The 24,948-nt window shown below is 39.7% G+C and overlaps 1 protein-coding gene across 2 annotated transcripts in view; it reads right to left on the bottom strand.

The window, feature by feature from the left end:
- THSD7B (thrombospondin type 1 domain containing 7B) overlaps positions 1–24,948 on the bottom strand; it is a 912,174-nt gene that overhangs the window by 751,932 nt on the left and 135,294 nt on the right. The window contains exons 1-2 of one of the 2 annotated variants that reach the window (XM_047445935.1): positions 23,955–24,755; positions 19,221–19,339 (exon numbers count right to left, since the gene is read on the bottom strand). The exons of the other annotated variant lie outside the window; for it this stretch is intronic. The gene's annotated coding sequence lies outside the window, so the exon portion shown is untranslated. Of the gene's footprint in view, positions 1–19,220; positions 19,340–23,954; positions 24,756–24,948 lie in introns of those variants that run through there. 2 annotated transcript variants of the gene reach the window in all.

The raw sequence follows: 24,948 nt of genomic DNA, 5'->3' as shown, positions 1-24,948 counted from the left end.
GGCTTCCCTAGAGAATTCTCTCAAATACTTAGAGAAAAATTAACACCAATCCCCTTAAACTCTTCCAAAGAATTGGAGGAAATACTTCCAAACTCATCCTATGAAGCCAGTATTACTCTGATCCCAAAATCACACGAAGGCACAGCAAGAAAAGAAAACTATAGACCAATATCCTTAATGAATATTGATGTAAAAATTCAGTACAAATTATTAGTAAACCAAATTCAACAGCACATTAAAAGAATTATACACCATGACCAAGTGGGATTTATACCAAGAATTCAAGGATGGCTCAGTGTATGAAAGTCAATCAATGTAATAGACCACATTAACAAAATGAAGGACAAAAATTTCATGATCATGTCAATTCATGCAGAACCAGCATTTGAAAAAATATAACATCCTTTCATGATAAAAACATTCAACAAACTAGGAATATAGTGTAAATGCCTCAACATAATAAAAGTCGCAGATAAAAAGTCCATGCCTATAACATACTCAATGGTGAAAAACTAAAAGCTTTTCTTCTAAGATAAGAAACAAGACCAGTATGTCCACTCTCACCACTGCTATCCAACATACTACTGGAAGTCCTAGCCAGAGCAAGAACAAGAAAAATGAATAGAAGACATGTAAATCGTAAAAGAGGAATAAAATTATTTCTGCTTGTAGATGACCTCATTGTGTGTGTGGAAAAGCCTAAAGATTTCACACACACACACAAAAACTCTTACAGCTAATATATGATTTTAACAAAGTTGCAGGATACAAAATCAACATGCAAAATTCAGTTGCATTTCTATTTACTAACAATGGTCAATTCAAAAATGAAATTAAGAAAACAATCCCAAATACTATGGCATCAAAAAGGATAAAAGACTTAGGAATAAACAACAAAGGAAGTAAAAGACTTGTACACCAAAAACTACAAACCATTGCTAAAAGAAATCAAGAAGAGACATAAATGGAAAGGCATGCCATGCTCATAGATGGAAATAAGATTGTTAAAATGATCACGCTTTCCCAAGTGACTTATCAATTCATTGCAATCCTTATGAAAACTCCAATGACACTTTGTGTAGAAATAGAAAACAAATCCTAAAATTCATGTAGAATTTCATGAGACCATGCACAGCCAAAATAATCTTGAAAAAAAATAAGGCCAAGGCCTCATACTTCCTGATTCCAAAACATACTACAAAGGTACAGTAATTAAAATAGCATAGCATTAGCATAAAAAACATATATATATATCCCCCAGTGGAACAGAGAACCAAGAAATAATGGCCAAATGATTTTTTACAAAGTTGCCAAGACTACCTAATGAAGAAAGGATAGTCCCTTCAACAAATAGGTCTGGGAAAACTGGATATCCACATGCAAAAGAATGAAGTTGGATCCTTATATCATACACCAAAAAGTAAGAATATAAGTAGATTTAAAATCTAAACAGCAAGGCAGGTGGATCACTTGAGGTCAGGAGTTCAAGACCAGCCTGGCCAACATGGTGAAACATCATCTCTACTAAAACACAAAAAGTAGCTGGGCATGGTGGCAGGCACCTGTAATCCCAGCTACTCAGAAGGCTGAGGCAGGAAAATCGCTTGAACCCATGAGGCAGAGGTTGCACCCTTGGTGACAGAGCAGGGCTCCATCTCAAAAAATAAAAATAAAAAATGAATAAAACCTAAACAGAAGAGTTAAAACTATAAAACTCCTAGAAGTAAACGTAAGGGGAAAGCTTTGTCACACTGGATTTGGCAATGATTTCTTGGATATGACACCTAAAGCACAGGGAACAAAAGCAAGAAAAGACAAATGAGATTACATTAAACTTAAAGACTTCCATGTTTCAAAGGATGCAATCAACAGAGTGAAAAAGTTACCTGCAGAATGAGAGAAAATATGTGCCAATCATATATCTGATAAGGAGTTAGTATCCAGAACATATAAGGAACTTCTATAACACGATAACAATAACAAAAAACTCTATTAAAAAATAGGTAAAGAACTTGAATTTACAGTTCTCCAAAAGAGACATATGAATAGCCAACAAACACAGGAAAACATAATCAAGGTCACTAATCATAAGAGTCACACAAGCCAAAACCAAAGAGATAACACCTCGCCCCCATTAGAATAACTTTTAAAAAACAAAGAGAAATAACAAGTATTAATGAAGATGGAGAGAAATTGGAACCCTTGTATGATTTTGGTTGAGATGTAAAATAGGGCAGGCATTAGGAAAAACAGTATGGAGGCCCCTCAAAAAGTTAAAAGCAGAATTACCATATGATCCAACAACCCCAGATATATTCTGGAAATATATCCACAAGAATTGAAGAAAAAGGATCTTGAAAAGGTATCTGCACACTCATGCACATTACAGCATTATTCACAATAGCCAAGAGTTGGAAGCAACCCAGATGTCTATCAATAGATGAATGAATTTTTAAAAAGAAATATATAAATAAAATGGAATATTATGCAGCCTTTAAAAAGAAGGAAATTCTGTTACATACTACTACAACATAGATGAAACTTGTGGAGAAATAAACCAGTCCAAAAAGGGCAAATCTTGTATGATTCCACTCATATGAAGTAGCTAAAGCGGTCAAAATCACAGAAACAGAAAGCAGATAGTTGGTTGCCAAGGGCTAGGTGGGGAGGTAGGAGGGGAATCTAGTGTTTAACGGGTATAATATTTCAGAGTTGCAAGATGAAAATGTTCTGGAGATCTGTTGCACAATGTGTATGTACTTAACACTACTGAACTGTACACTTAAAAATAGTTAAGATAGTAAATTAATGATACCTTTTGCCACAATAAAAAAAGACACTGGTAAAAAATTACAATTCACGTAACTACATATCCAAATTCACATAAACTCCATGAACAAATAGAGGAATGGCACTTGGGGGTCAAGAAAGAGTTAAAAGACATCAGTGGACTCTGACATGAGAATAGGAGGGTTAAATGTTTCGCTTTCCTGTTTTGATAGAAAAGTGGTATAGTTAGCTTGACTGCAACAGAGATTAGTCATGGAAAAGAGGTTTTTATTTTATTTTATGGGGTTTTATTTTAGAGAAATATATTATTCTGTCTAGGTTATCTACTTTAAAAGTTAAATGTAGCAAACAAGAGTTCATCAATCAAGTACAACAAATAGAATGTATGTCTCATATCTATATTCCCAGCTCCTTGGAGAAGCTGAAAATGAAAACATACAAAAATAGAGAAGCTTATTGCATTTTCTAAGTACAATTTCTGGTTGATAGACTGAAAAGATTACCAACTGGAAATTACATCATGGTTAGTTAATTACATGCTACCTCCAAAATAATGTGGTTTTATGAAACACACCTCCTTTTCTCTCTCCACCACCTTCAGAAAAATGGAAATGGCAAGCTTTCTGGCCAAGAGAAATTGATCAAGGGAAGGATATGCAGGACATGTTCCCATTGGAATCAGGTGCAGAGAGAAGGGTCCCAAATTGTAATATATAATTATATGGTGTGACATAATACTGTTCGACATAAATGCCCTCTGGTTGGAGAATGTAGCGACAGTGGCCATCCATACTGAGTTCCTATGTGGACCAGGCAGCCAACTGGGAATTCAGTTAAAGCTGATGCTAGGCAGTCACTCTGGACTTGTTTGCTCATATCCACCAGAGAAGGGCAGGTAGCAGAGAGCTAAGAGGACAGACAGTGAAGGGGAAATAAGAGAACAATGCAGAGAAAATTAGGGATTTTTATTCCCTTGAAAATGTTTACAAAAGCATACCTGAGATTAGATAGCAAAAACTAAGGAGAAATTAACACTAAAAGCACTGAAGGAATCCCAGGCTCTATCTTCTCCAACCTTTCTTTACAGCTTAGAAAGTTTCTAAGGAAATTAGCCACCTCTGTGCAAAATGATAACCAGTTAGAAAGATAGGATTCATCTGAGCTTCCACAATCTAGGGAGAGTGAATTTGGCCTGATTGTTCTTTTGACTGTAATGAAAACGACAGTACTCTGTTTCACAAATAGTTGCAAAAAACAGGGCCTTTATGAATTCTACCACTTAATGATTTTTCCATTAACATGCTAATTGATTCTATAATTAAAGAAAATGTTAACAATCTAAAACACCTTGAAAATCAAGAAAATGCAAAATTAAAATTGCCATTCATCCTTAAGGCAGTACTGTCAATAGTTAGTGACACCTGAAATGAATCTGAAACATTCTACCTTCTTTGTAATCAAACTGCATCTTCCACCTTCCTTAGCTTAGCACATCTTACATAGCCTATGCCTTCATCTTATTAAAAAAAAAAAACCCGCATATGATATTTATAGACACAGGCTTGTATGGTGGGTTGCAATGGTGTGTGTCTGTAGTCCCAGCTACTCAGGATGCTGAGGCAGGAGGATGGCTTGAGCATAGGAGTTTGGGACAGCATGAGCAACATAGCAGAAGGCCATTTATATCCAGAGATATATAGATATAACTAAGCAGAAGTAGGCTTACATATAAGCAGAATAAGGGGCCTGCCTATGTGGTTTTTTTTTTTTTTTTTTTGAGTGTCCAGATGATGGCAGTGATGGCCCATCTGGAGCGGCTGCTGTAAGGACACTGGCTGCAGCAGGGGAGGCACAGCCAGGCCTGCGCACTAGGCAGAGCTGGTGTGGGAGCCAGGAGCAGATGAGAGCCCCGCCTTCTACCAAGTTGGCAGTGCAGAAGGCCGCACTCCCGGGTGCTGATGCCGAGTTCAGCTCCAGACCCTGGCATCCCTGGGCTCTCAGGGGCCCAGGAAGCCCCCAACCCCTGCAGGCTTCAAAGGGCCTGCTCCCACTCCTTGGCCTCTCCCTCCTCCTGGCAACCATTCTGGGGCAGAGCAAAGCTGTGGCTGAGCCCAGGTACTGTCATAACCCAGCCAGGGCAGCACTGACGCATAAGCCCCCTGCCACTTCGGCTCCTTCTGGACTTTGGGTGCCAAGAAGCACAGGAGGCAGGCCAGGGGAGCTGAGGGCAGCTTGGTGCAGGCCTACAGGTGCCTCTCGGTGCAGACAGCCTGGGCACTGTGGATGGCATGTTAAAGGCAGACAGGGTCCTAGGTGGGAAGGGGTAGCTTACCAGTGAAACCCCTCCTTCAAGCCAGGAAAGGCTTGAGGTTTGGGGGCCAGGCTGCCAGTTCCAGGTGAAGTCCATGGCCTGGAGACAGAACTTCATTGAAGCCTTTTGGCCAATTGGACAGTACTTTTTCCAGGTCTGCCCATGGCCACCCATGGACCAATCAGCACCCACTTCCTTCTTTCTGAACACACAAAAACCCCAGACTCAACCAGTCTCACTCATTGAGATGACCTGCCTACAGAAAGGAGCTACCCATTACAGGTCTCTTCTCTGCCAAGAGCCGGACACTCACTGGGACGACTTGCCTGTGGAAAGGAACTACCGACTACAGGTCTCCTCCCTGCTGAGAGCTGGACACTCATCAGGACGACCTGCCTGTGGAAGGAAACTAGCCACTTTGGGTCTCCTGAGAACTATTCTGTCACTCAGTAAAGTTCCTCTCCACCTTACTTACCCTACAGTTGTCCACACACCTCATTCTTCCTGAACATGGGACAAGAACTTGGAACCTGCTGAATGGCAGGACTGAAAGAGCTGTAACATAAACAGGGCTGAAACACACCCCCACTTACTTGCCATGTGGCAGGTGACAAGAAGGAGAGAAGAGCTGCAGCCCTTTAGGAAGCCCAGACCTAGAGGTTCCCTGAGCCAGGGCTGTGACATCCTCTTTGGGGCTCTGCAATCCTGACATCTCCAAGCTTCCAGGCACCACCATGTTCCCTGCTGCCCACAGTGAAAGCAGCTTATGATATGTGCGGTCCACCTGCAGCCTCACAGAGCCGGTCCCTATGCCAGTGCCTAGAGCTGCCCGCCCTGCCACAGCCGGCATGCCCAGCTGTGCACAGTGGCTGGACCCCACACTCACTTGCTCACACACTCCTTGCCCCTCTGCACCTGGCTCACCCTTGGTAGGTGTGGGATCCAGGCCAGTAGTGTGAGCCATATGCAGCCTGCTGGGCCAAGCAGGTGGAACAAGCCCAGTAGGCCCAAGAAAAACTAGGAAAAAGGTGCCACTGGCCACAGAGGTTTCTGGCTGGAAAAGTGACACTCCAAATATCCTGTGACAGAGAGAAAAGTCCCCTGAACTTCAATTTTAATAATCCTGCCTGCCACAATCCTAGATTTAAGTACTTTGGGAAAGATGCTGTACATTTAGAATAAGCCTGTTAGAAAATAAACATTCTTATGAGAAGCAACTGGCATTATAAAGAGCCATTTACATGGTCTGATCTGGGTCATCAGAATGAAGCAAGCTGGTCTCCCAAAAAGCAGACTGCTGCAAGGTGAGGTATAGACAAGAAAGGGAAGGAAACACTACAAAAATATTGCCTGCTTGGGTTTTGCCTGAGGTTAGTACTAATTACCAAGAATATATTTTGGCAGAAGCAAAAATATACTCCGTGATATTACTGTTTTAGGCAACTATTTATTCTCTGGTTGTTTTATGAGATTGCCAACTGTAGTCAAGAGCTTTGAGAGAGTAAAAAGGTCTAAAGCTACTGAGTTGCCAATTATTTACCACTGCTCTCCTAAACTGCATGCATTTTTAAGGAACACATCATTTGGGAAATTGTTTCACTTTGGGGTTTGGGAAACACCAATTTAAGGAACTAGAACCAAGACCACTTGTTAAAGGAGTTCTAAATTGAGTGCATGACAAGGAGGATCTGAGGTATAAACACCTTCATGAAGAGCATACAAAGTCACCCCAGACCCATCACTCACGCATGCCCAGGACTTCCCAGTGTAGAGAAGCTGTTTATTTTATTAACCCAGGTCAGGAGAATGGTACGATATAGAGAGAGAAAGGAAAGATGTTGAATTAAAGAAACGAATGCCCTTTTAACTCCATTAATTGAGTCTAGGTATTTTTCTTAGATGAAGTTGCAAGTTTAAAGTTGTACTTCTGGAAAACACTGAAAAGGCCAGATTGCTTCCTGACATAGGAAAAGCCAGTTTGGTCTTGGCAACTCCAATTCAGATCTTCTGTCACGGAGAAGAATAACAAAGTTCTGGGTCCCTTCTGTCGTTATCCTTACCTCCAAGGAGTGAGAGTTACAAACCCTTTTAGCAGTGAGCCTATAACTATCAGACCTTTACCTTCAGGAATCTGTCATTTGCCACAGCCTACACCAACATCTTCATTACATGCATCAGGAAAAATAAGAAGGACAGGCTCAGGGAGCAGGTCTTATCCAGGCAAAGGGAAGAATAGATATAACGTAGCAACTATATTTGGCAAGGTGATTCAACAAGTGGAAAGGGGAGATGGATTGAGTTCTCCACTAGTTTTCCATTTCCAGCTCACTGAAACCAGGAGTGGAGAAATAAAAATGAAAGAGACCTGGCTTTCATTCTTTACTAAAATAGGATTATGTGATGGGAGATAATATAACGAAAGGTTCCTCCATCAGAAGTCAGATAACCTAAGTTCTAGTTCTAACACTGTAGCCTTCAACATGTCAATTTTGTTTCCAGACCCAATGCTCTTCAGGTACAAACTAAAAGGTTTGTATAATAATAATCTCTGTAATCCATTTCATGCCATTCCCCTGCCCCCACCAAAATCCACAACCAACTGTATTTACAATCAAATTAAATTTACAAATGAAAAAAATAAATATAACAAACTTTTCAGAGTCAGTGAAAATTAATGCAATTTACAGATTCAAATTTTCCTCAGATTACAACTAGTTACCACTGTTCTGGAACTGCAATTAGTGTTCTAGAATTGTCTTCCCCTAACCCTAAGCCAGTATATTTCAGCTAAAGGATGTTAAGCTTTTGGATACTATACTTGAGACTTTATGCCAAAGTAAAGAAATCGCTCAAGGCGCATTTGAATTTTTATGACTCTAATGATGTCAGTTCACAAGATGGACTATTTCCTTTGGAAAATAAAGAGTCCTCCAGGGTGACAGAACAGACGGTAGGCCAACTTTTACTTATGGCTCGGGTTACATAGACTCTGCACCTTAAATAATTTATATGATGTGATCATACACAGGCCTCATCTGTGGGAACAGACTGAAATGAAACCAAATATGTCCCAATCTGTATACTAATCACTACTCAATAACAGAGATGTGGTGGAGAGTCCATTAGGCCAGCCAGAGTCTGGAAGCTCATACTACTTAAGCACTGAGCAGATGCTCAATTCTGGTTAAAAGTTCCACCCCACCCCCAGCTGAGAGCTCAATACACATAAGCTGACTCACTGACTCAATTAGACAAGAGCTGGCTTTGTGAGTCCGCAGACTAAACCATGCAACGATCAGCCCCATCCATTCCTGCTAAAACAACCCAATAAAATCTGCTATTTTGTAAGCTAAATAATATATCTACAGATACTGCTACAGTATGAATATATTTCCATTTACTAACAGGAACTAGGGGACTAGGAACAAAGTGAGAAATGGTAATATCACTGTCCCAAACTGAAGATTTCATGCCAAATTAATAAGCTGGGGTGGGATGCGGGGAGGATAACTTAAACTGAAAAGTTTGAGATTGGAAAACTTCATAATTTGTAACAATCATATCATAGTCAAAAATGTTTCTGATGAAAGTTATTGATGATTTATCCAAACAAGCAGGCTCCTCTATGAGACTGATAAAACCAGTATCAATTTGAATGCTATTTTTCTAGGTATTTCTATAACCTTTCTTTTTATAGCCTCATAATAATGCTGTCTTTAACATAGGCTGAGTGGCTCTAATTGTGTATTTTAGAAATAGGATCCAGAGGTCTATTCAAAGAAGTTCAATGCCAAGACTAAAGAATGAAGCCATTGATTCATGGCAACCAGTATCAGGATTTGGGTCCTTTTCCACTGTAAACTACTAAGTGTTATCTGCCTCCTCCATCACTACCTATGAGTGTGGAGGTAAAGACAGGTGCTATGGCAACTTAGTCTTCACACTGATGAACTATCTGGATCAAAAAGGAGGCAAGGGAAGGTAAGAGACTCCAGAAAACTAAACCATCTGGAAGCTGAATGTCATACACAGGGAGAAGCAGCGGGGAAAATACATTTTCTATATCATGCACTTGGACTACAATAAAACGCTCCGTGGAATGGGTACAAATCCTAGAGATCCTAAACAACTTCAAAACTGAGTTCTACTGCTCACAAACTTTGTGACTTTGAGTGAATTTCTAAACTTAATGCTTGGCTCTTGCACTTGTGTTACAGGGCTAACTAAGCCTCCTTTGCATTGCTGGTGGAAGGAAATGAGTGAATGCACACTAACCGTCTGCCTGGCCTGGCAGGCACTCCAGGAATGCCATTATTTTTACCAGGTCTGCTTCATGAAGCCACCAAGTCCTTTCAAGTCCACAAGGAGCAATCTGAACCAGTAGACCGGAATATTCTCACTGCCCATCATGGCAGAGGTTAGTATATGCTCTTACAACCCAATTCCCCACAGACCACAGATAACCAACACATTCTCATGACTAATAAATGCACTGGAAAACTTTCAGCATTTTTTGTGTGTGTGGTAGCTAGTAGTGGATTAAAAAAAATAAAAACAAGAAACAAAAACAAAAACATCCATCATTGCCTGTACCTGTACTTCTTCCCTCTAGCAAAATTTAGACCAATTACTAGGGAAAGAAAGCAATCGTTAGGGAAAGCTGGTATAGTTCTTTATCTCCTTTTATGCCAGAAGGTGAGTGGAAAGTGATGAGTTATTATCTTTACAATTGTTTTAAAATGTACTTCAAGTATAGGCACTTAACATAAACTTACAGACCTGAAACTTATAGACCTGAAAATGTACTGTCAGGTTGAGAAGATATCTCCTTTTGTTGTTGTTGAATTTAATACCAGATCTTATTATAACCATCCAAAAACTGTCAAGGACTTACTGTACAAGGAACTAATTTAGGACTCAGGCTCTGGAATCAGAGTGGGTTTGAACCTTGGCACCTTGGCTCTGCCACTTACTTGCTGTGTAACCATGGGCCAGGTACTTTACCTCTCTGTGCTTCAGCCTAGAAAATGGAAATGCTAACAGCACCAACCTCTTAACAATCCATGTGAGGTAAAATAATATAAAACAATTGATAAAAAGTATTTGCAATACTACCTGACCATTAAGAAAAAGTAGCAAGTGTTAGCAATTATGCTTACTGAGTGAATCAAACAGGTCTAGAAAGAAATGTAATGAGTTGTTCAGAGTAGTTAAACTCTTGAGAATTTGAAATAGCATTTTCTAATAAAGTTCCTAAAAACTCTGTGATACTTATATTGCCTGCCACTATCACAGGAAAAACATCATATAACCATATTTACACCTGATAGAGGAGGTGCAGCAATTTATGATAAAGTCCTGTCTCCATCTCTGGACTGAGTACTCCGATTATTTCTACGCTCTGAAAAACTAACTGTTTCACTTTGCTTTGGAAAGGATTTTTTGTAAGTCCCTTAACTCATTTCAGAGCAAATGTGAATACTAAAATGTCTTGAAAAAGGCTAGTATCTCACTTCAATGCATGGATGTGGTTCCACTCCACTTAAAATCTTCCCCTAGAGATAAAACCATCTTCTGTTTGTGATGTTTCATGCCCCAAACAGTCCAACTCCCATCGAAGATAACCCAGAAGGCATGTTTGTGTTTTTTCAGACTAAAATGCAATTATTTTTAACTTGAATTTTTCTAGTCTAAAATGCCATCTTTAAAATTTCATTATATTTATCTTGCCTATCTCTTTATTGTTTTCAATAATGTTTCTGGTAATATAGCTCAAAATTATACAGTTATATGATGCCTATCATGTAATAGACACTGATCACAACATTTCACATAATTCATTTTAATTCTGTCTTATGATGCAGTGTATTAGTCCGTTTTCATGCTGCTGATAAAGATATACCCAAGACTGGGGAAAAAAAAGAAGTTTAATTGGACTTACAGTTACACATGGCTGGGAAGGCCTCAGAATTATGGTGGGGGGTGAAAGGCACTTTTTACATGGCTGTGGCAGGAGAAAATGAGGAAGAAGCAAAAGCAGAAACCCCTGATAAACCCATCAGATCTCATGAGACTTATTCACTATCACGAAAACAGCAGGGGAAAGACGGGCTCCCATGATTCAATTACCTCCCAACAGGTCTCTCCCACAAAATGTGGGAATTCTGGGAGATACAATGCAAGTTGAGATTTTGGTGGGGACACAGCCAAACCATGTCATTCCAACCCTGGTCCCTCCCAAATCTCATGTCCTCACATTTTAAAACCAATCATGCCTTCCCAACAGTCTGCCAAAGTATAAACTCATTTCAGCATTAACTCAAAAGGCCATAGTCTAATGTCTCATCTGAGACAAGTCACTTCTGCCTATGAGCCTGTAAAATCAAAAGCAAGCTAGCTAACTTCTAGATACAATGAGGGTACAGGTATTGGGTAAATACAGCTATTCCAAATGGGAGAAATTGGCCAAAACAAAGGGATTACAGGGCCCACGTATGTCCGAAATCCAGTGGGGCAGTTGAATTTTGAAGCTCCAAAATGATCTCCTTTGACTCCAGGTCTCACATCCAGGTTACGCTGATGCAAGAGGTGGGTTCCCATGGTCTTGGGCAGCTCCACCCCAGTGGCTTTAAAGGGTACAGCCTCCCTCCCGACTGCTTTCATGGGCTGGTGTTGAGTGTCTGTGGCTTTTCCAGATGCATGGTTCAAGCTGTCAGTGGATCTACAATTCATGGGTCTGGAGGATGGTGGCCCTCTTCTCACAGCTCCACTAGGCAGTACCCCACTAGGGACTCTGCATGGGGGCTCCAACCCCACATTTCCCTTCTGCACTGCCCTAGCAGAGGTTCTCCATGAGGGCCCTGCCCTTGCAGCAAAATTTGCCTGGGCATCCAGGTGTTTCCATACATCTCCTGAAATCTAGGCAGAGGTTTCCAAACCTTAATTCTTGACTTCTGAGTACCCACAGGCTTGATACCACATGGAAGTTGCCAAGGTTTGGGGCTTCCACCCTCTGAAGCCCCAGCCCAAGCTGTACATTGGCTCCCTTCAGCCATGGCTGGAGAGGCTGGGAAACAAGGCACAAAGTCCCTAGGCTGCATGCAGCATGGGGATCCTGGGCCTGGCCCATGAAACCACTTTTTCCTCCTGGGCCTCCAGGCCTGCAATGGGAGGGGCTGCCATGAAGGCCTCTGACATGGCCTGGAGACATTTTCCCCTTGGTCTTGGGGATTAACATTAGGCTCCTTGCTACTTACGTTAAGTTTCTGCAGCTGGCTTGAATTTCTCCCCAGAAAGTGAGTTTTTCTTTTCCATTGCATAGTCAGGTTGCAAATTTTCTGAACTTTTATGCTCTATTTCCCTTTTAACACTGAATGTCTTTAACAGTACCCAAGTCACCTCTTGAATGCTTTGTTCCTTACAAATTTCTTCCACCGGATGCCCTAAATCATCTCTGTCAAGTTCAAAGTTCACAAATCTCTAGGGCAGGGGCAAAATGCCGATAGTCTCTTTGCTAAAATGAAACAAGAGTCGCCTTTGCTCCAGTTCCCAAAAAGTTCCTCATTTCCATCTGAGACCACTTCAGCCTTCATTTTTGTTGTCCATATCACTATCAGCATTTGGCACAAAGCCATTCAACAAGTCTCTAGGAAGCTCCAAACTTTCCTACATTTTCCTATCTTCTGAGCCCTTCAAACTCTTCCAATCTCTGTCTGTTACTCAGTTCCAAAGTCGCTTCCACATTTTTGGGTATCTTTTCAGCAACGCCCCACTCTACTGGTACCAATTTACTGTATTAGTTCATTTTCATGCTGCTGGTAAAGACATATCTGAGACTGGGAAGAAAAAGAGGTTTAATTGGACTTACTGTTCCACATGACTGGGGAGGCCTCAGAATCATGGCAGGAGGTGAAAGGTACTTCTTACATGGCAGCACCAAGAGAAAATGAGGAAGAAGCAAAAGCAGAAACCCCTGATAAACCCATCAGATCTTGTGAGACTTATTCATTATCACAAGAATAGCAGGGGAAAAACTGGCCCCCATAATCCAATTACCTCCCACTGGGTCCCTCCTACAACACGTGGGAATTCTGGGAGATACAATTCAAGATGAGATTTGGCTGGGGGCACAGCTAAACCATAACAATTAATAATATTATTATGACCTATTTACAGGTGATAAAACCAAAGCAAATAGAGCTTGAATCAACTGCCCAGAGTAACACAGCAGGAAAGCACACATACCACTGTGTTAAACCCTTTAGTTTCTCCCTCCTTTTTTTGAGAGGGAGTCTCGCACACATACCACTGTGTTAAACCTTTTAAGTTCCTCTCTCCTTTTTTTTTTTTTTTTTTTTTTTTTTTGAGATGGAGTCTCGCTCTGTCACCCAGGCTGGAGTGCAGTGGCACTATCTCAACTCACTGCAACCTCCACCTCCCAGGTTCAAGCAATTTCCCTGCCTCAGCCTCATGACTAGCTGGGATTATGGGCGCCCACCAGCACACCCGGCTAATTTTTGTATTTTTAGTAGAGATGGGGTTTTGCCATGTGTGCCATGTTGCCCAGGCTGGTCTAGAACTCTTGACCTTAGGTGATCTGCCCACCTTGGCCTCCCAAAGTGCTGGGATTACATGAGCCACTGCACCTGGCCCCTCCTTTCTTCCTCCCTCTTTCCCTTCCTGCATTCCGCTATCCAACAGCCCATCAATCCATCAGTAATGCACAGACCTGCTATTCATCCATCCATCCATCTATCCATTTATCCATCTGTCCCTCCCCTCATCTAGCTATCAACCATGGAGTAGATGGAAAGGAAGAAGGAATTAAAGCATATGTCTAGAAATTTGGAATTTAACTAATTCAAATATATCCGTAGGATTTGGTGGCTGTAAAGCGCTCTCTTGTAGTAGTAGTAGCATGGCATGCATTATTAAAGAAACTGTGATTTGAATGAGTGTCAGTTTCTCAAAATGCAGAGACTAGCTCTATTCAAGAATCACAGCAGAGTAGAAGGTACACATACAATCTTGCTATACAGCAGGCATGGCACTAAGATATGAACATTACATCTATAAGGAAAGACATTATCAACAACTGTTTCCATTTTTTAGTATGAAGAAAGCTAGGTAGGAGTATGTCTAAGGTATCTTTCCTTCCTTAATGAAACTGCTATTGATTTTTCACGTTAGTGAATCATTGCCTTGAAGCAATTTCTTTTAGCTGCAGGTTCTCACATTTAATTTGGATGTATGCTTAAGGGAGAGTTTATCAATAAAATCTCCAGAGGAACGCCAAAAGGTTTTTATTAGAAAGAAACAGTGAAAGCAATTTTACCAATTTTGTTAAACACACAGATGATCAAAGAATTATTAATGAATGGCATTTAAAGAGCAATTTCAACATTAATATGGGTCATATCAACATAATCATCACTCCAAATGTTCTCAGTGGTTACAAACATTAAAGATTTCTAAGAGCAAAACATGAATTTTCCTGCCCTTACAGAAAATAGTAGTATGTGCCTTGGCCAAAAGCCAACCTTAAAGTTGATTTTGCTGACCAAAATTAATATTTCCCAAGTTATTTCAGCATCATCCCTTAGTATGTATTAGTTACCGAACAAAGCATGATCTTCATAATATCTTCATCATATCTCATTTGATCTTCATAATTCTATAATTAAGGTACCTTAAAGTCTGATTTTATACATAAAGGCTTAGTGAATTGTAAATATTACCCCAAATGATATAATTTGGGTACTAAAATAAATGATATAATTTGGGGTAATATTTACAAAATAACAAAACCAGCAAAGTAGTAGCAAAATTTATATCATTTAAAAATTATATCATTAAATCATATATCATTATAAAATCAAATATATCATTATATCGTTAAATTAATATCATTAAAAATTATATCATTTGGGGTAATATTTACAAAATAGCAAAACCAGCAAAGTAGTAGCAAAACCGGCATTCAAACTCATGTTTATGTGTTTCCAGAATCCACATTCATAACTCCTGAATTGTTCACGTATGCAAAGCACTTTGATTCTTCTCCACGTACTAAAAAGCCTTTGGATAAAGACATATTTTCATAACATTCACTAACACCTCAGGACCATCAATTTTTCGGCTACTTAAGTTATATCTGTACAAAGTCAATAATCCCAAAACCCATGTGCATGTTAGAAAACAACACATTTTTTAAATATAAAAACATTCTTGAGGTTCAACTTACTTATAATCTTGACTATATATTGGTATCATTAAATCTCACATGTAAATGACTAATCCCAAATGTGAGTGAACACAAGCCCCCATTCCTAAAAGCTCCACTACCCAGTATGCCACTACCATGGCCAAGACTCATTCTAGAACCATACATCCAGTTTTGTTTCTTAGCCCTTCCTCTCTGAACTCTTTTCATTCCCTCTTGGCTCCACTCCTGCTTGGCACCTTTTGCTAAAGAGCATGTTTTGTTTATACTCCACTCTAGTTGTCTGTAGTTCACCTTGCTTTCTCCCTCCTGGCAGAGTTACTCCATAGACTGAGGACACACTATTGGACTCTTCTTTCTCCATGAAACTGCTCCCAGATTGCTGAAACCTAAAGCACTATTCTTGAAAGGTGCTCAAGCCAGCAGAGATATTTCCCCACAGGCCCCAGAGGGGCCTCAAAGTTAATATATATCTGAAGACCTGATCCTGTTCGTTTGCCAACCACATTCCTAGGCTATTACACTCTCAGGATTCTCAGCATGCCCTCCCATTATGCCAGTAATCTGTGCTCACCCCTAAGGAAATAGTAAAGAAAACCAAACAGTAACAATAGCAAAACTAGAACAAAACAATCAATAACAACAACAGGAAAGAATGTAAGTAGTCTGGCCATATTACAAATATGGAAGCATCGTGTGGATTGTACTGATTTAGTAATTTCAAACATTGTTTAGGACATGCTCATAAGCCCTCGATTAACAACCTCATTCACTTTTCCCCTTATTTCCAATATGGTTTTGGACTACATTTTAGATACTGCTTGATTAGTATTCTGTGTTTCTTGGATAAATATAAGCTCAAATGGATTTTCCAAAGTCATTTGTGTATTTCATCATGCATTCATTCCTCTCTGCTCACTACGCATTTATTGAGCTCAAAACTCACCAAGACTCTGGAATCACAACTTTGCGGGAAGAAACTATTGCACAAAGATGTATAAGAAATGGCCTTGCCTTCAAAGGGTTTCTGTTCCAGGAGCACAAACAGTAGAGTATCAGTACTTTATCTTTGGATAAAGGAAAGTTATCTTGCTATTCCTCCCTGTTCCTTCTTTTTGTCTCATTTCCCACCCTCCACCCCTCATTTTTCCAAAATCTTCCCATGCCATCTTGCCATTTCAAGCATTTAGAACTGTACACCTCATTTCAGTCCTTGCCTTGGGTGTTATAAGCTGAAAGTGATGATTCTGGTGCATTTTCTAGGAGGCCCACCTTTTTTTTGAGACAAGGTCTTGCTCTGTTACCCAGGCTGGAGTGCAGTGGGGCAATCTTGGCTCACTGCAACCTCCACCTCCCAGGTTCAAGTGATTCTTGTACCTTAGCCTCCCTAGTAGCTGGGACTACAGGGACATGCCATCATGCCTGACTAACTTTTTTGTATTTTTAGTAGAGATTGGGTCTTGCCATGTTGGTCAGGCTGGTCTCGAACTCCTGACCTCAAGTGATTCTCCCACCTCGGCCTCCCAAAATGCTGGGATTACAGGTGTTAGCCACCGCGCCCAGACTAGGATAGGCCCACTTTTAATTAATCCTTCCTGTTGTTCCCATAAGTTTACTTGTTAAATGATGTTCTACTCTTATTTATTCAGAAAACATAATCCTCAGTAGCCATGCCTCAAAATGCCTTACTTCCTCCCCATAAAGAAAACTGGAATTCACTCAGCCTCGGCACTAGCTGGGTTGCTTTGACTCAATCCAGTTACCTAAGGTATTATGTCATTCATTCAAAATCACGTCCATCTTTCTGTGTTCATTCAGTAATTGTGTATTATTGGTAAATATGTGCAAACTCAATCCTAGATGGCTGATGTACAGACATATGGCTCCCCAGGGAAGATCATCTCCAAATTAGACTCCAGATTACCTGATGGATTTCAGTCATATCAAATCCCAGGTGGAAACTCAGTGTCCCAATTTGCAAAGCAGTTGCTTAGAAGCACAAGTCTATTATCAATTATATTCTAGTTCAAATTCCAATTTTGCTACTCATTTCACTACGTGACTTAGTTTCCTCAGATGTAATATATGGATGATAATCTCATAGTTTTCTTGTGTGTGAAGATTCAATGAAATAAAGCATGTAAAAGCAATCAGAAATCTAACAACTGGCCAATCAACATAAATATTATTATTGCTGCTATTTCTACCACATTATGTGAAAATTCTTAATATAATTTGACTTATTTATTATTAATTTTGTACATGGCACAATAACTTAATATAGTTCTAGAGATTTAAAATGAGCTCCTGGAAGCAAATTTTGGCAACCATATGCAACATGTGTCTACAAAACACATTAAAACTATTAAAAAAATGAAGTGTTTTAAATCAAGGCTGTCAAATTCTGTGAAAAGATTAAATGAAAAGTAAATCACTCAATTTTGAGAACTGTAAGATACCAAACCTTTAGGCAAATAAAAAAAACTTCAGATAAATGTTTTTTCATCTATTATAGCTGCCTATGCCAAATTTCCTCTATTAGTGTCACCACTATCACCTAAAATACTGCACTGAAAGCAACATCCTACTGCTTAATGTTGGTGACATTTATTTTCCAGCTTCAGAAGAAAAAACACAAACCTCTAAATTGAAATCTTTGTAGGTCAGCAACATACAGCAGTTACCTTTGCAAAAGGAGAAAAAGCCAATTTGTCAGTATCTGAGACCATAATTATTACTTCAGCTTCTCTTAACACAAAATAAAAATTCTCAGACTTTGTAGATTTTTAGTAATTTACTAAAATAGTTGATGGAACTGAATGGATGTTCACTTCTAGGTATAAATAATACTAACATAATAACAGTTTAATTGCTTAGGCATGAAATAAATGACTTCCTTCATGGTTCTTATTTATCATTTTATTACTTTGTTTTGAATTTTTTCTGTTGGCTATCAAATTCCTGTGATCCAATATAGGTAGAATGAAGTGTATCCACTTTCACAGATCTGATAAAATAAGTAAAAACTTTAAACTTTCACTTACATTTTTAAAACAATATTTCTACCTTTGTAATTGATTTAGAAAATAAATATTGGTGACTACTTAATTCTGTACAGAATTAAATTATATTTCTCTTTCTGCCCATTTTAATAAAAAATATATTCAAATGTTTTTGACAGTTCTTATTGAGAAAACTTGTATAAAAATGACACCTTGAGCCCAGGAGTGGTGGCTCACACTTGTAACCCCAGCATTTTGGGAGGCCAAGGTAGGTGGATCACCTGAGGTCAGGAGTTCGAGGCCAGCCTGGCAAACAAGGCGAAATCCCGTTTCTACTAAATATACAAAAATTAGCCAGGCATGGTGGCGAGTGCCTGTAATCCCAGCTGCTTGGGAGACTGAGGTAGGAGAATTGCTTGAACCCAGGAGGTGGAGGTTGCAGTGAGCCAAGATCACACCACTGCACTCCAGCTTGGGTGACAAAGTCAGACCCTCTAAAAAAAAAAAAAAAAAAAAAAAAAAAAACCTTGAAATGTAAGGAATCTATGAATATGTGACTATTGTAAATGAAAGTTTGCATAGCTTCATACTTTCTACAAAGTTTAAGAATAATTTTCACATTATTTTTATTTCTTTTATTTTCATTTTAAAACTAAACTAATATTGCCATAACTACTTGAGTGAAAATTTGATAGAAAAACTCAAAGGACCACTAAAAAGAAAGATCACTATTATTTGTCATACTTCTTCCTCTTCCATTCTTCATGCAGAGTCACCTGTCAATTCTTTATTTCCTAAACAGAAAACAGTGAAGGATTCTGGAAAAGTTACAGTAGAACTTCCCAGTCAAATATATCAATATACCAAATCACTATTTTGATGAATCCATACTCACTTTTTTGTTAACATCATCAACGAATTCAAGACTTATAAAAATGATCCTAAAAATCTCAGGTTTATTTGCTTGACTCTACTCCCCCTCTCCAATAAGTGCTTTCTTCTACTTGGCAAGTCCTGCAAGTACAAAAATAATAAACTCAGCTGTGCACTGCATCTTACCCTGTTCTCATTTTCTCTCAATAAATGGATATAGATGTATAGATGATATACAAACACATGTATATATTATACACAAACACACACAAATATACTTTATCTTTTTAGCCAATATTCAGAACTTGCTTTGGGTATTTAAAGTTAGGAAGCTCTCATAAAGAATATCTGTCTGCTGCTGAACACTGAGCGTTATCTGGAAGAATCAGATTCTCTTAAAACTTCACTCCACACAAGGGAAATTGAATGAAAGAGTGAATAAAAAATATTTTTAAAGGCCCCTATTAAGAAATGGAAGAAAATGAGAAAAGGGATCACAGTGAGCAGGGCAGAAGGTGTGAAAGGCAGAGAAGGCCAGGTTCAATGCATTGGAATGTTGAGACTGTGTTTCTCACTATTGAGGGGAAACCTGTCTGCACTCATAGAGCTGCCTAGGCAAACAAAATGTCACAGCTTGATTCTGCCTTTAGCTGTAAGTATTCCTCACCCGGTGTTCAAGATTCAGAGGCACATGCATGCCTCCCTCCCCTCCCTAATATAAGAGGCTCCAATGCTAGCCCCAACTGTCTTTTTCGATCTGACTGTCCCTGGAGTTCTGTTTTTGCAGGAGACCACATGCTCCCTCAATTTTACATTATCCATAATGATCATTTGTCTCAATGCCTAATGATGTACTTGTCTCAAATTGCTGGTTATCATTGGCATATTTGCCCACAACCAAAAGTGATAGACTATTCCTGATAGGCAGTATTGTATTAGATAGGAGAACATGCTACTGAAGCTTAGTGAAGAGAATAAGCACCAACATGATTAGGCAGGATGACTACAAACCTGACTGTTAATTTAGGACCAATGACATGGTCTTGCTAATACATTAACGGCATAATTCATGCAAAGCACTTAGCATAGTATTTAGTATACATAGCTATTATAGCTCTTTTCCATTGTTCAAAACAATATTTCTCACAAAACCTTTGTCTTCGTCTTCTCATAATGCTTTTGACATACCTCTATTAGCTTTTCTTTCAATAACTGTCTACATCTGTGCTGCCTCACCAACTAGATGGTAAACTCAGAGTGAAGAAAGAGGGAATCATCACTGTATCCTCAAGGCCTAGAACACAATAAGTACCATGGAAGATGCCTCATAAATGCCTGACAGCCAACTAAAGGAATGAAGGTAGAGTTGGGTAGGATTTCACTACTAAACGAAGTAGAATGATCATAAGAGTGCTCGATATATTATTTGGAAAGTTGGATTCTCATTTCACCTCTACCAGTGATTTCCTGCATTGTCTTAGCAACCCACATGCAGAAGGAGAGTAAGGTACACCTACATAGTTCATAAGGTTCCCATGAGGATCGCATTACACAGTAAGTGTGAAGGTGAAAGCCAAGGAAGTAGTGGATGAAAGAGTCACTTCCCCTCCCACAGATTCCAGTTGAAAAAGAAGAGGCTGTACCGCTCCAACATTGTATGAGTCTGTGGAATCCCCAGGCTAAAGGACACTAAAGTTCTCAGAAGAGCAAAAACAAAAGAATTACAACAAATGGAACATGCATTTGCTGAAAGCAAATAATTTTTTTTCTCTCTCTTTTTTTATTCTCAGATTTCTCTGTCTTCTTTATCCAACTTATTTCATTTCCTTCAGAATTATCTCCCAGTAAGACCCCAGGGCCAATCATTGAAGGTTCCTTGGGATCTCCAGATCACTCATTGCTTCTCTTCACCTGGGATGAACTGTCATAAGCTCAGCACCAGCTATCCCACCCCTGAGTGTTCTGACATGGAAGAAGATGGCCCCTGCCACAGGGCAGGGAACCTCTGCCCGGTTCCAAGCACTTTGTTTCCAATCCTGGTGAACATGGAGTTATTTTCATAGACGCTTAGCCCATAACAGAAGAGGGAACTTTTCAGCAGCCCTACCAGAACATGCCCCTGTCTCCTGTAGCACCAGCCCCAGAAGGATTTCTGAGTAGAAACCCTTCCAGTGGTTGGGGTGGTAAGTGACCCCTGTCACTGCACATTACCCTAACCCATTGAGCTCAGCCACTGCCTCTGCTTCTCTGCATCTGCCTCCATGTCTAGGATCAGGATGACTGGATGACTCATTTACTCAGACACTTTCCCACACTGCCCAGGCTTATCCCAGGGTGGGTTACCTCTGCCACTGCCAGGATACCTCAGGCATGTACCACCAGTCAATGTCACCACTTCCCCGTCTCCACATTTGCTGGGGTTGCCTAATATTCTCGCTACACACTGAATATTATTTAATTAAAGGAGAAACACATTTTCTTGCCCATAAAAGGCCTCCTCTTATTCTTCCCTCCTCCTTGAGGAACATTTGGGGACACAGCTGGGACTATGGGTTTTGTCATTGGCTTTAAGGTTTACAAAAATCATGCTGCCGGCCCAGCTCAGAAACAAACAAACACACACACACACACACACACACACACACACACACACACACACACACCTCACAGGAAGACTCTGCTGGGTACTGAGAACTCCTTTGAAAGTTCTATGCTTTCTGCCACCTATCCTGAGAGCCTCATGTAAGGTGGTGGCCCTGGCCACTGTGCTGGGAGTCCACGGAAATCTCATGTCTTATTTATTTCTAATTGGTAAAGGGTTTTCTTAACAAGTGTACCCAACCTCCCTGGAGGCACTAGCCTAGCTCTCTGGCCCTGTGATAATGAGCTAGAGGCTGGCATCCTTCCATCTGTGCAACTTAGAATCACTGATCCTTTGGGTTGAAGGGTGAGGTGTGGTGCTGGCCTGCCATGTGCCTCTGTCACCCAGGATAAAGGGCTGGGGTGAAGTAGGGTAAAAGACCTCCATCTTGTCCATACCCCTGCTCTGTGGCAGCATCACCTTTGAGGTGTACATGAGAAAAACATATGTTACAACACTTTATTCTCTTCCTTAATTAAAAAAAAAATTCTGAAAGCAAGCAAGCAAACAAACAACAGCAACAACAAAACAGAACCCTCAAAATTACCTGTTAAGTGTCAAGGAAAGATTGCCTTCAAAACCATGTTATCTCCTTATAACCTCTTTTTGCCTATTTACATCAGATCCTTGATCACCTTACTCCTTTTCCTCAGCTAGAAACTTGGTCTTCCTATGCTAGCAGTTCAACACTAGTGATGATTCTATCTCCTACGGAGCATTTAATATATGCCAGGCAACTGTGCTGTGTTTTCATATATTATCTAATTTCATATTTTTTTTAAAAAAAACACCTTTTTGGGGTAGCTGTCAATAACCTTATTCTATATAATCTGGCAAGGGCCATCGTAAATGCTACATTAACTTTCACCAAGTAAATGATGGGATAGAGCACTCAGTAGAACACTGAGGCACAGCAGGGAGGCACAACTGGGCCACACTCATACCCTAGTACGAACAGAGCTGGACACAAGCCAATTTCATCCAATCTCAAAATGCCTCTATGCTGGACCAGCTTGTAACACTGGTCATTCTTGGCATTGATTTTAAAATGAAGTTTCCTCCCATGTGCATATAATGGAGTGGCTGCTTCTTTTCACAGGTTCCAGAGCCGCTGACGTTGGGCCAGTCTCCCAGGTGCTTTTGTATCCAATGACAGTTCAGGAATCCTGGCCTTCTAACACATCACTGCAGACATTGCCACAATATTTTCTTCATCTGTCCTTTCTCCTGTGACTGAGAACCCTCTTCTGAATCATTGACTTTACCTCCTATTTTTCTCATGACTTTCTACTGTTTAGATTGTAAAATGTGGAATGTATACCACGAAGGTCCACCCTCCACTCCCTTATGGCAGGCTCTGGACCCCTATCCTCGGCGCATGTGGAAGAAGAAAGTGAACCACACTTAGAATGCAAAGGGGAGGACAGACTCAGAGGGCGCATGGCCCAGTTCCATCTCTGCTGCTCCAACCTGTCTTCCTGCCGTCATTTTTCTCACTTGTTAATGAAGAGGCCAGGTTTGCTGAGCTGAAGATCTCCTCCAGCTTGAAAACTCTATAAAAACATTGGCTTAAATATATGTTTCATAACGATCCAAACAATGACAATGACCTTTGAAACTATTAAAACATAAATTGTACTTTTCGCTAATCTCCGGTGTCAGTTCTGACATCAAAGTTCAGACTGCTAATTTAGTCATCCTAAACAAGACCCCTATATATCCGATAAATTCAGTATATCCTGCATGCATCCTTCCCTCTGTTTTCTCAGCTTTAGACCCTTTAATGATTCTAGAATTTCCATGATTTGACTTAAGTGTAGATTAAGTGGCACCATTAAATTCAAGCATCTGACGTTTAGAGGTGAAGATCTTCAGGGAAATGTACTACTTCTGGGCCAGCCCAGGGTATCGAATATCAGTGACATATACTCTACATCTGTCCACTAATTCATTCTGAACACTGCTTCAACATACCTTCAAATCTGATTTTGGGCCTTAGGTTCTGTAATAATTAAATCATTCTCTGGTCTGAAAGCTGGCTTGTCTATTTCAAAATCAATCAAGGGCAAACAACTCAGAGTCTAACAAAGATAAATAAGAGACGGTGAAGCCTACCTTTTAATGCATCGCTGGCTTTAATGCTGAATACAAGATGTTTTTCAAGGAAAAGTTTTTAAAAAGTATCCTTGCTTTGTAGAAATCCTGGTGAGAACACAGAATTCCTTTCTCATGTGCTATAAATAAAACTCCCTGGGGGGAATTTCTCCTTGTCAAAGTTCATTCTAACTGAAATGTCTTCAAAATATCAAAAGAACTTAAAGAGCTAATGTCACTTCCCCAATAATTTTTTAAAATTTAACCTAAGCAGTGAGGAGTGTTTAAATAGCTATAAAATTCTTCTCAAATTTCCCATTTCCATTCATCTCATTAGCATCCTTTAGTGACCTTATCGTCTACTTCAGAATTTAACAATTAGGAAGCACATGGGCTTTCTCAGATAATATTCTAGAGCTTTTAAAAAATTGGAAGTATTAAGGAAATAATATATTTTTAAAAGGTGAAAAGTTTTACGTCAATATAATGTACAGGGCAATTCTTCTTGGTTCTCCTTCGGCATGGGCCTTCACAGGCCATAGTCTACTGGTTCCATATTCGGATCATTAAATGGCAGCCCTCCGACTTGGAAACAGTAGCTATGTCTTGCTTTGCTTTGTAACTCTCACAGCACAGCATCTGACACATAATAAGTGCCCAAGCAATATTTACTGCATGATCAGAAACTTAAGATTTAAGGATAAAGGCAGGAAAAATAACCTAAGACATTTCAGATCAAAACTTTGTTTTTCTATTAAAACAATAAAAAAAAAAATCCAAGGAATAAGAAGGCTTTTCTGTTTTACACAAGCACTGAGTAAAACATTATGAAGATAGTTTTCCAAGTATCACACTTTTTTCTAATCTTCTACTCATACCTTACAATAGAGATTTGTATATAAGAGACACTTTCTGCATGGGGGGTAGATACATTTTGTTTATCTAAAAACATATACTCACCTACTCATTTGCAGACTCATTAGCAAAACTCATTGACTTCAAGCTCCATGCTAAA

The sequence above is a fragment of the Homo sapiens genome, chromosome 2 (assembly GCF_000001405.40).
Source record: "Homo sapiens chromosome 2, GRCh38.p14 Primary Assembly".
In the NCBI taxonomy this organism is placed as follows: domain Eukaryota; kingdom Metazoa; phylum Chordata; class Mammalia; order Primates; family Hominidae; genus Homo; species Homo sapiens.
The sequence above is the reverse complement of the archived record's forward strand: the minus strand, read 5'-3'. Positions and strand labels throughout refer to the sequence as shown.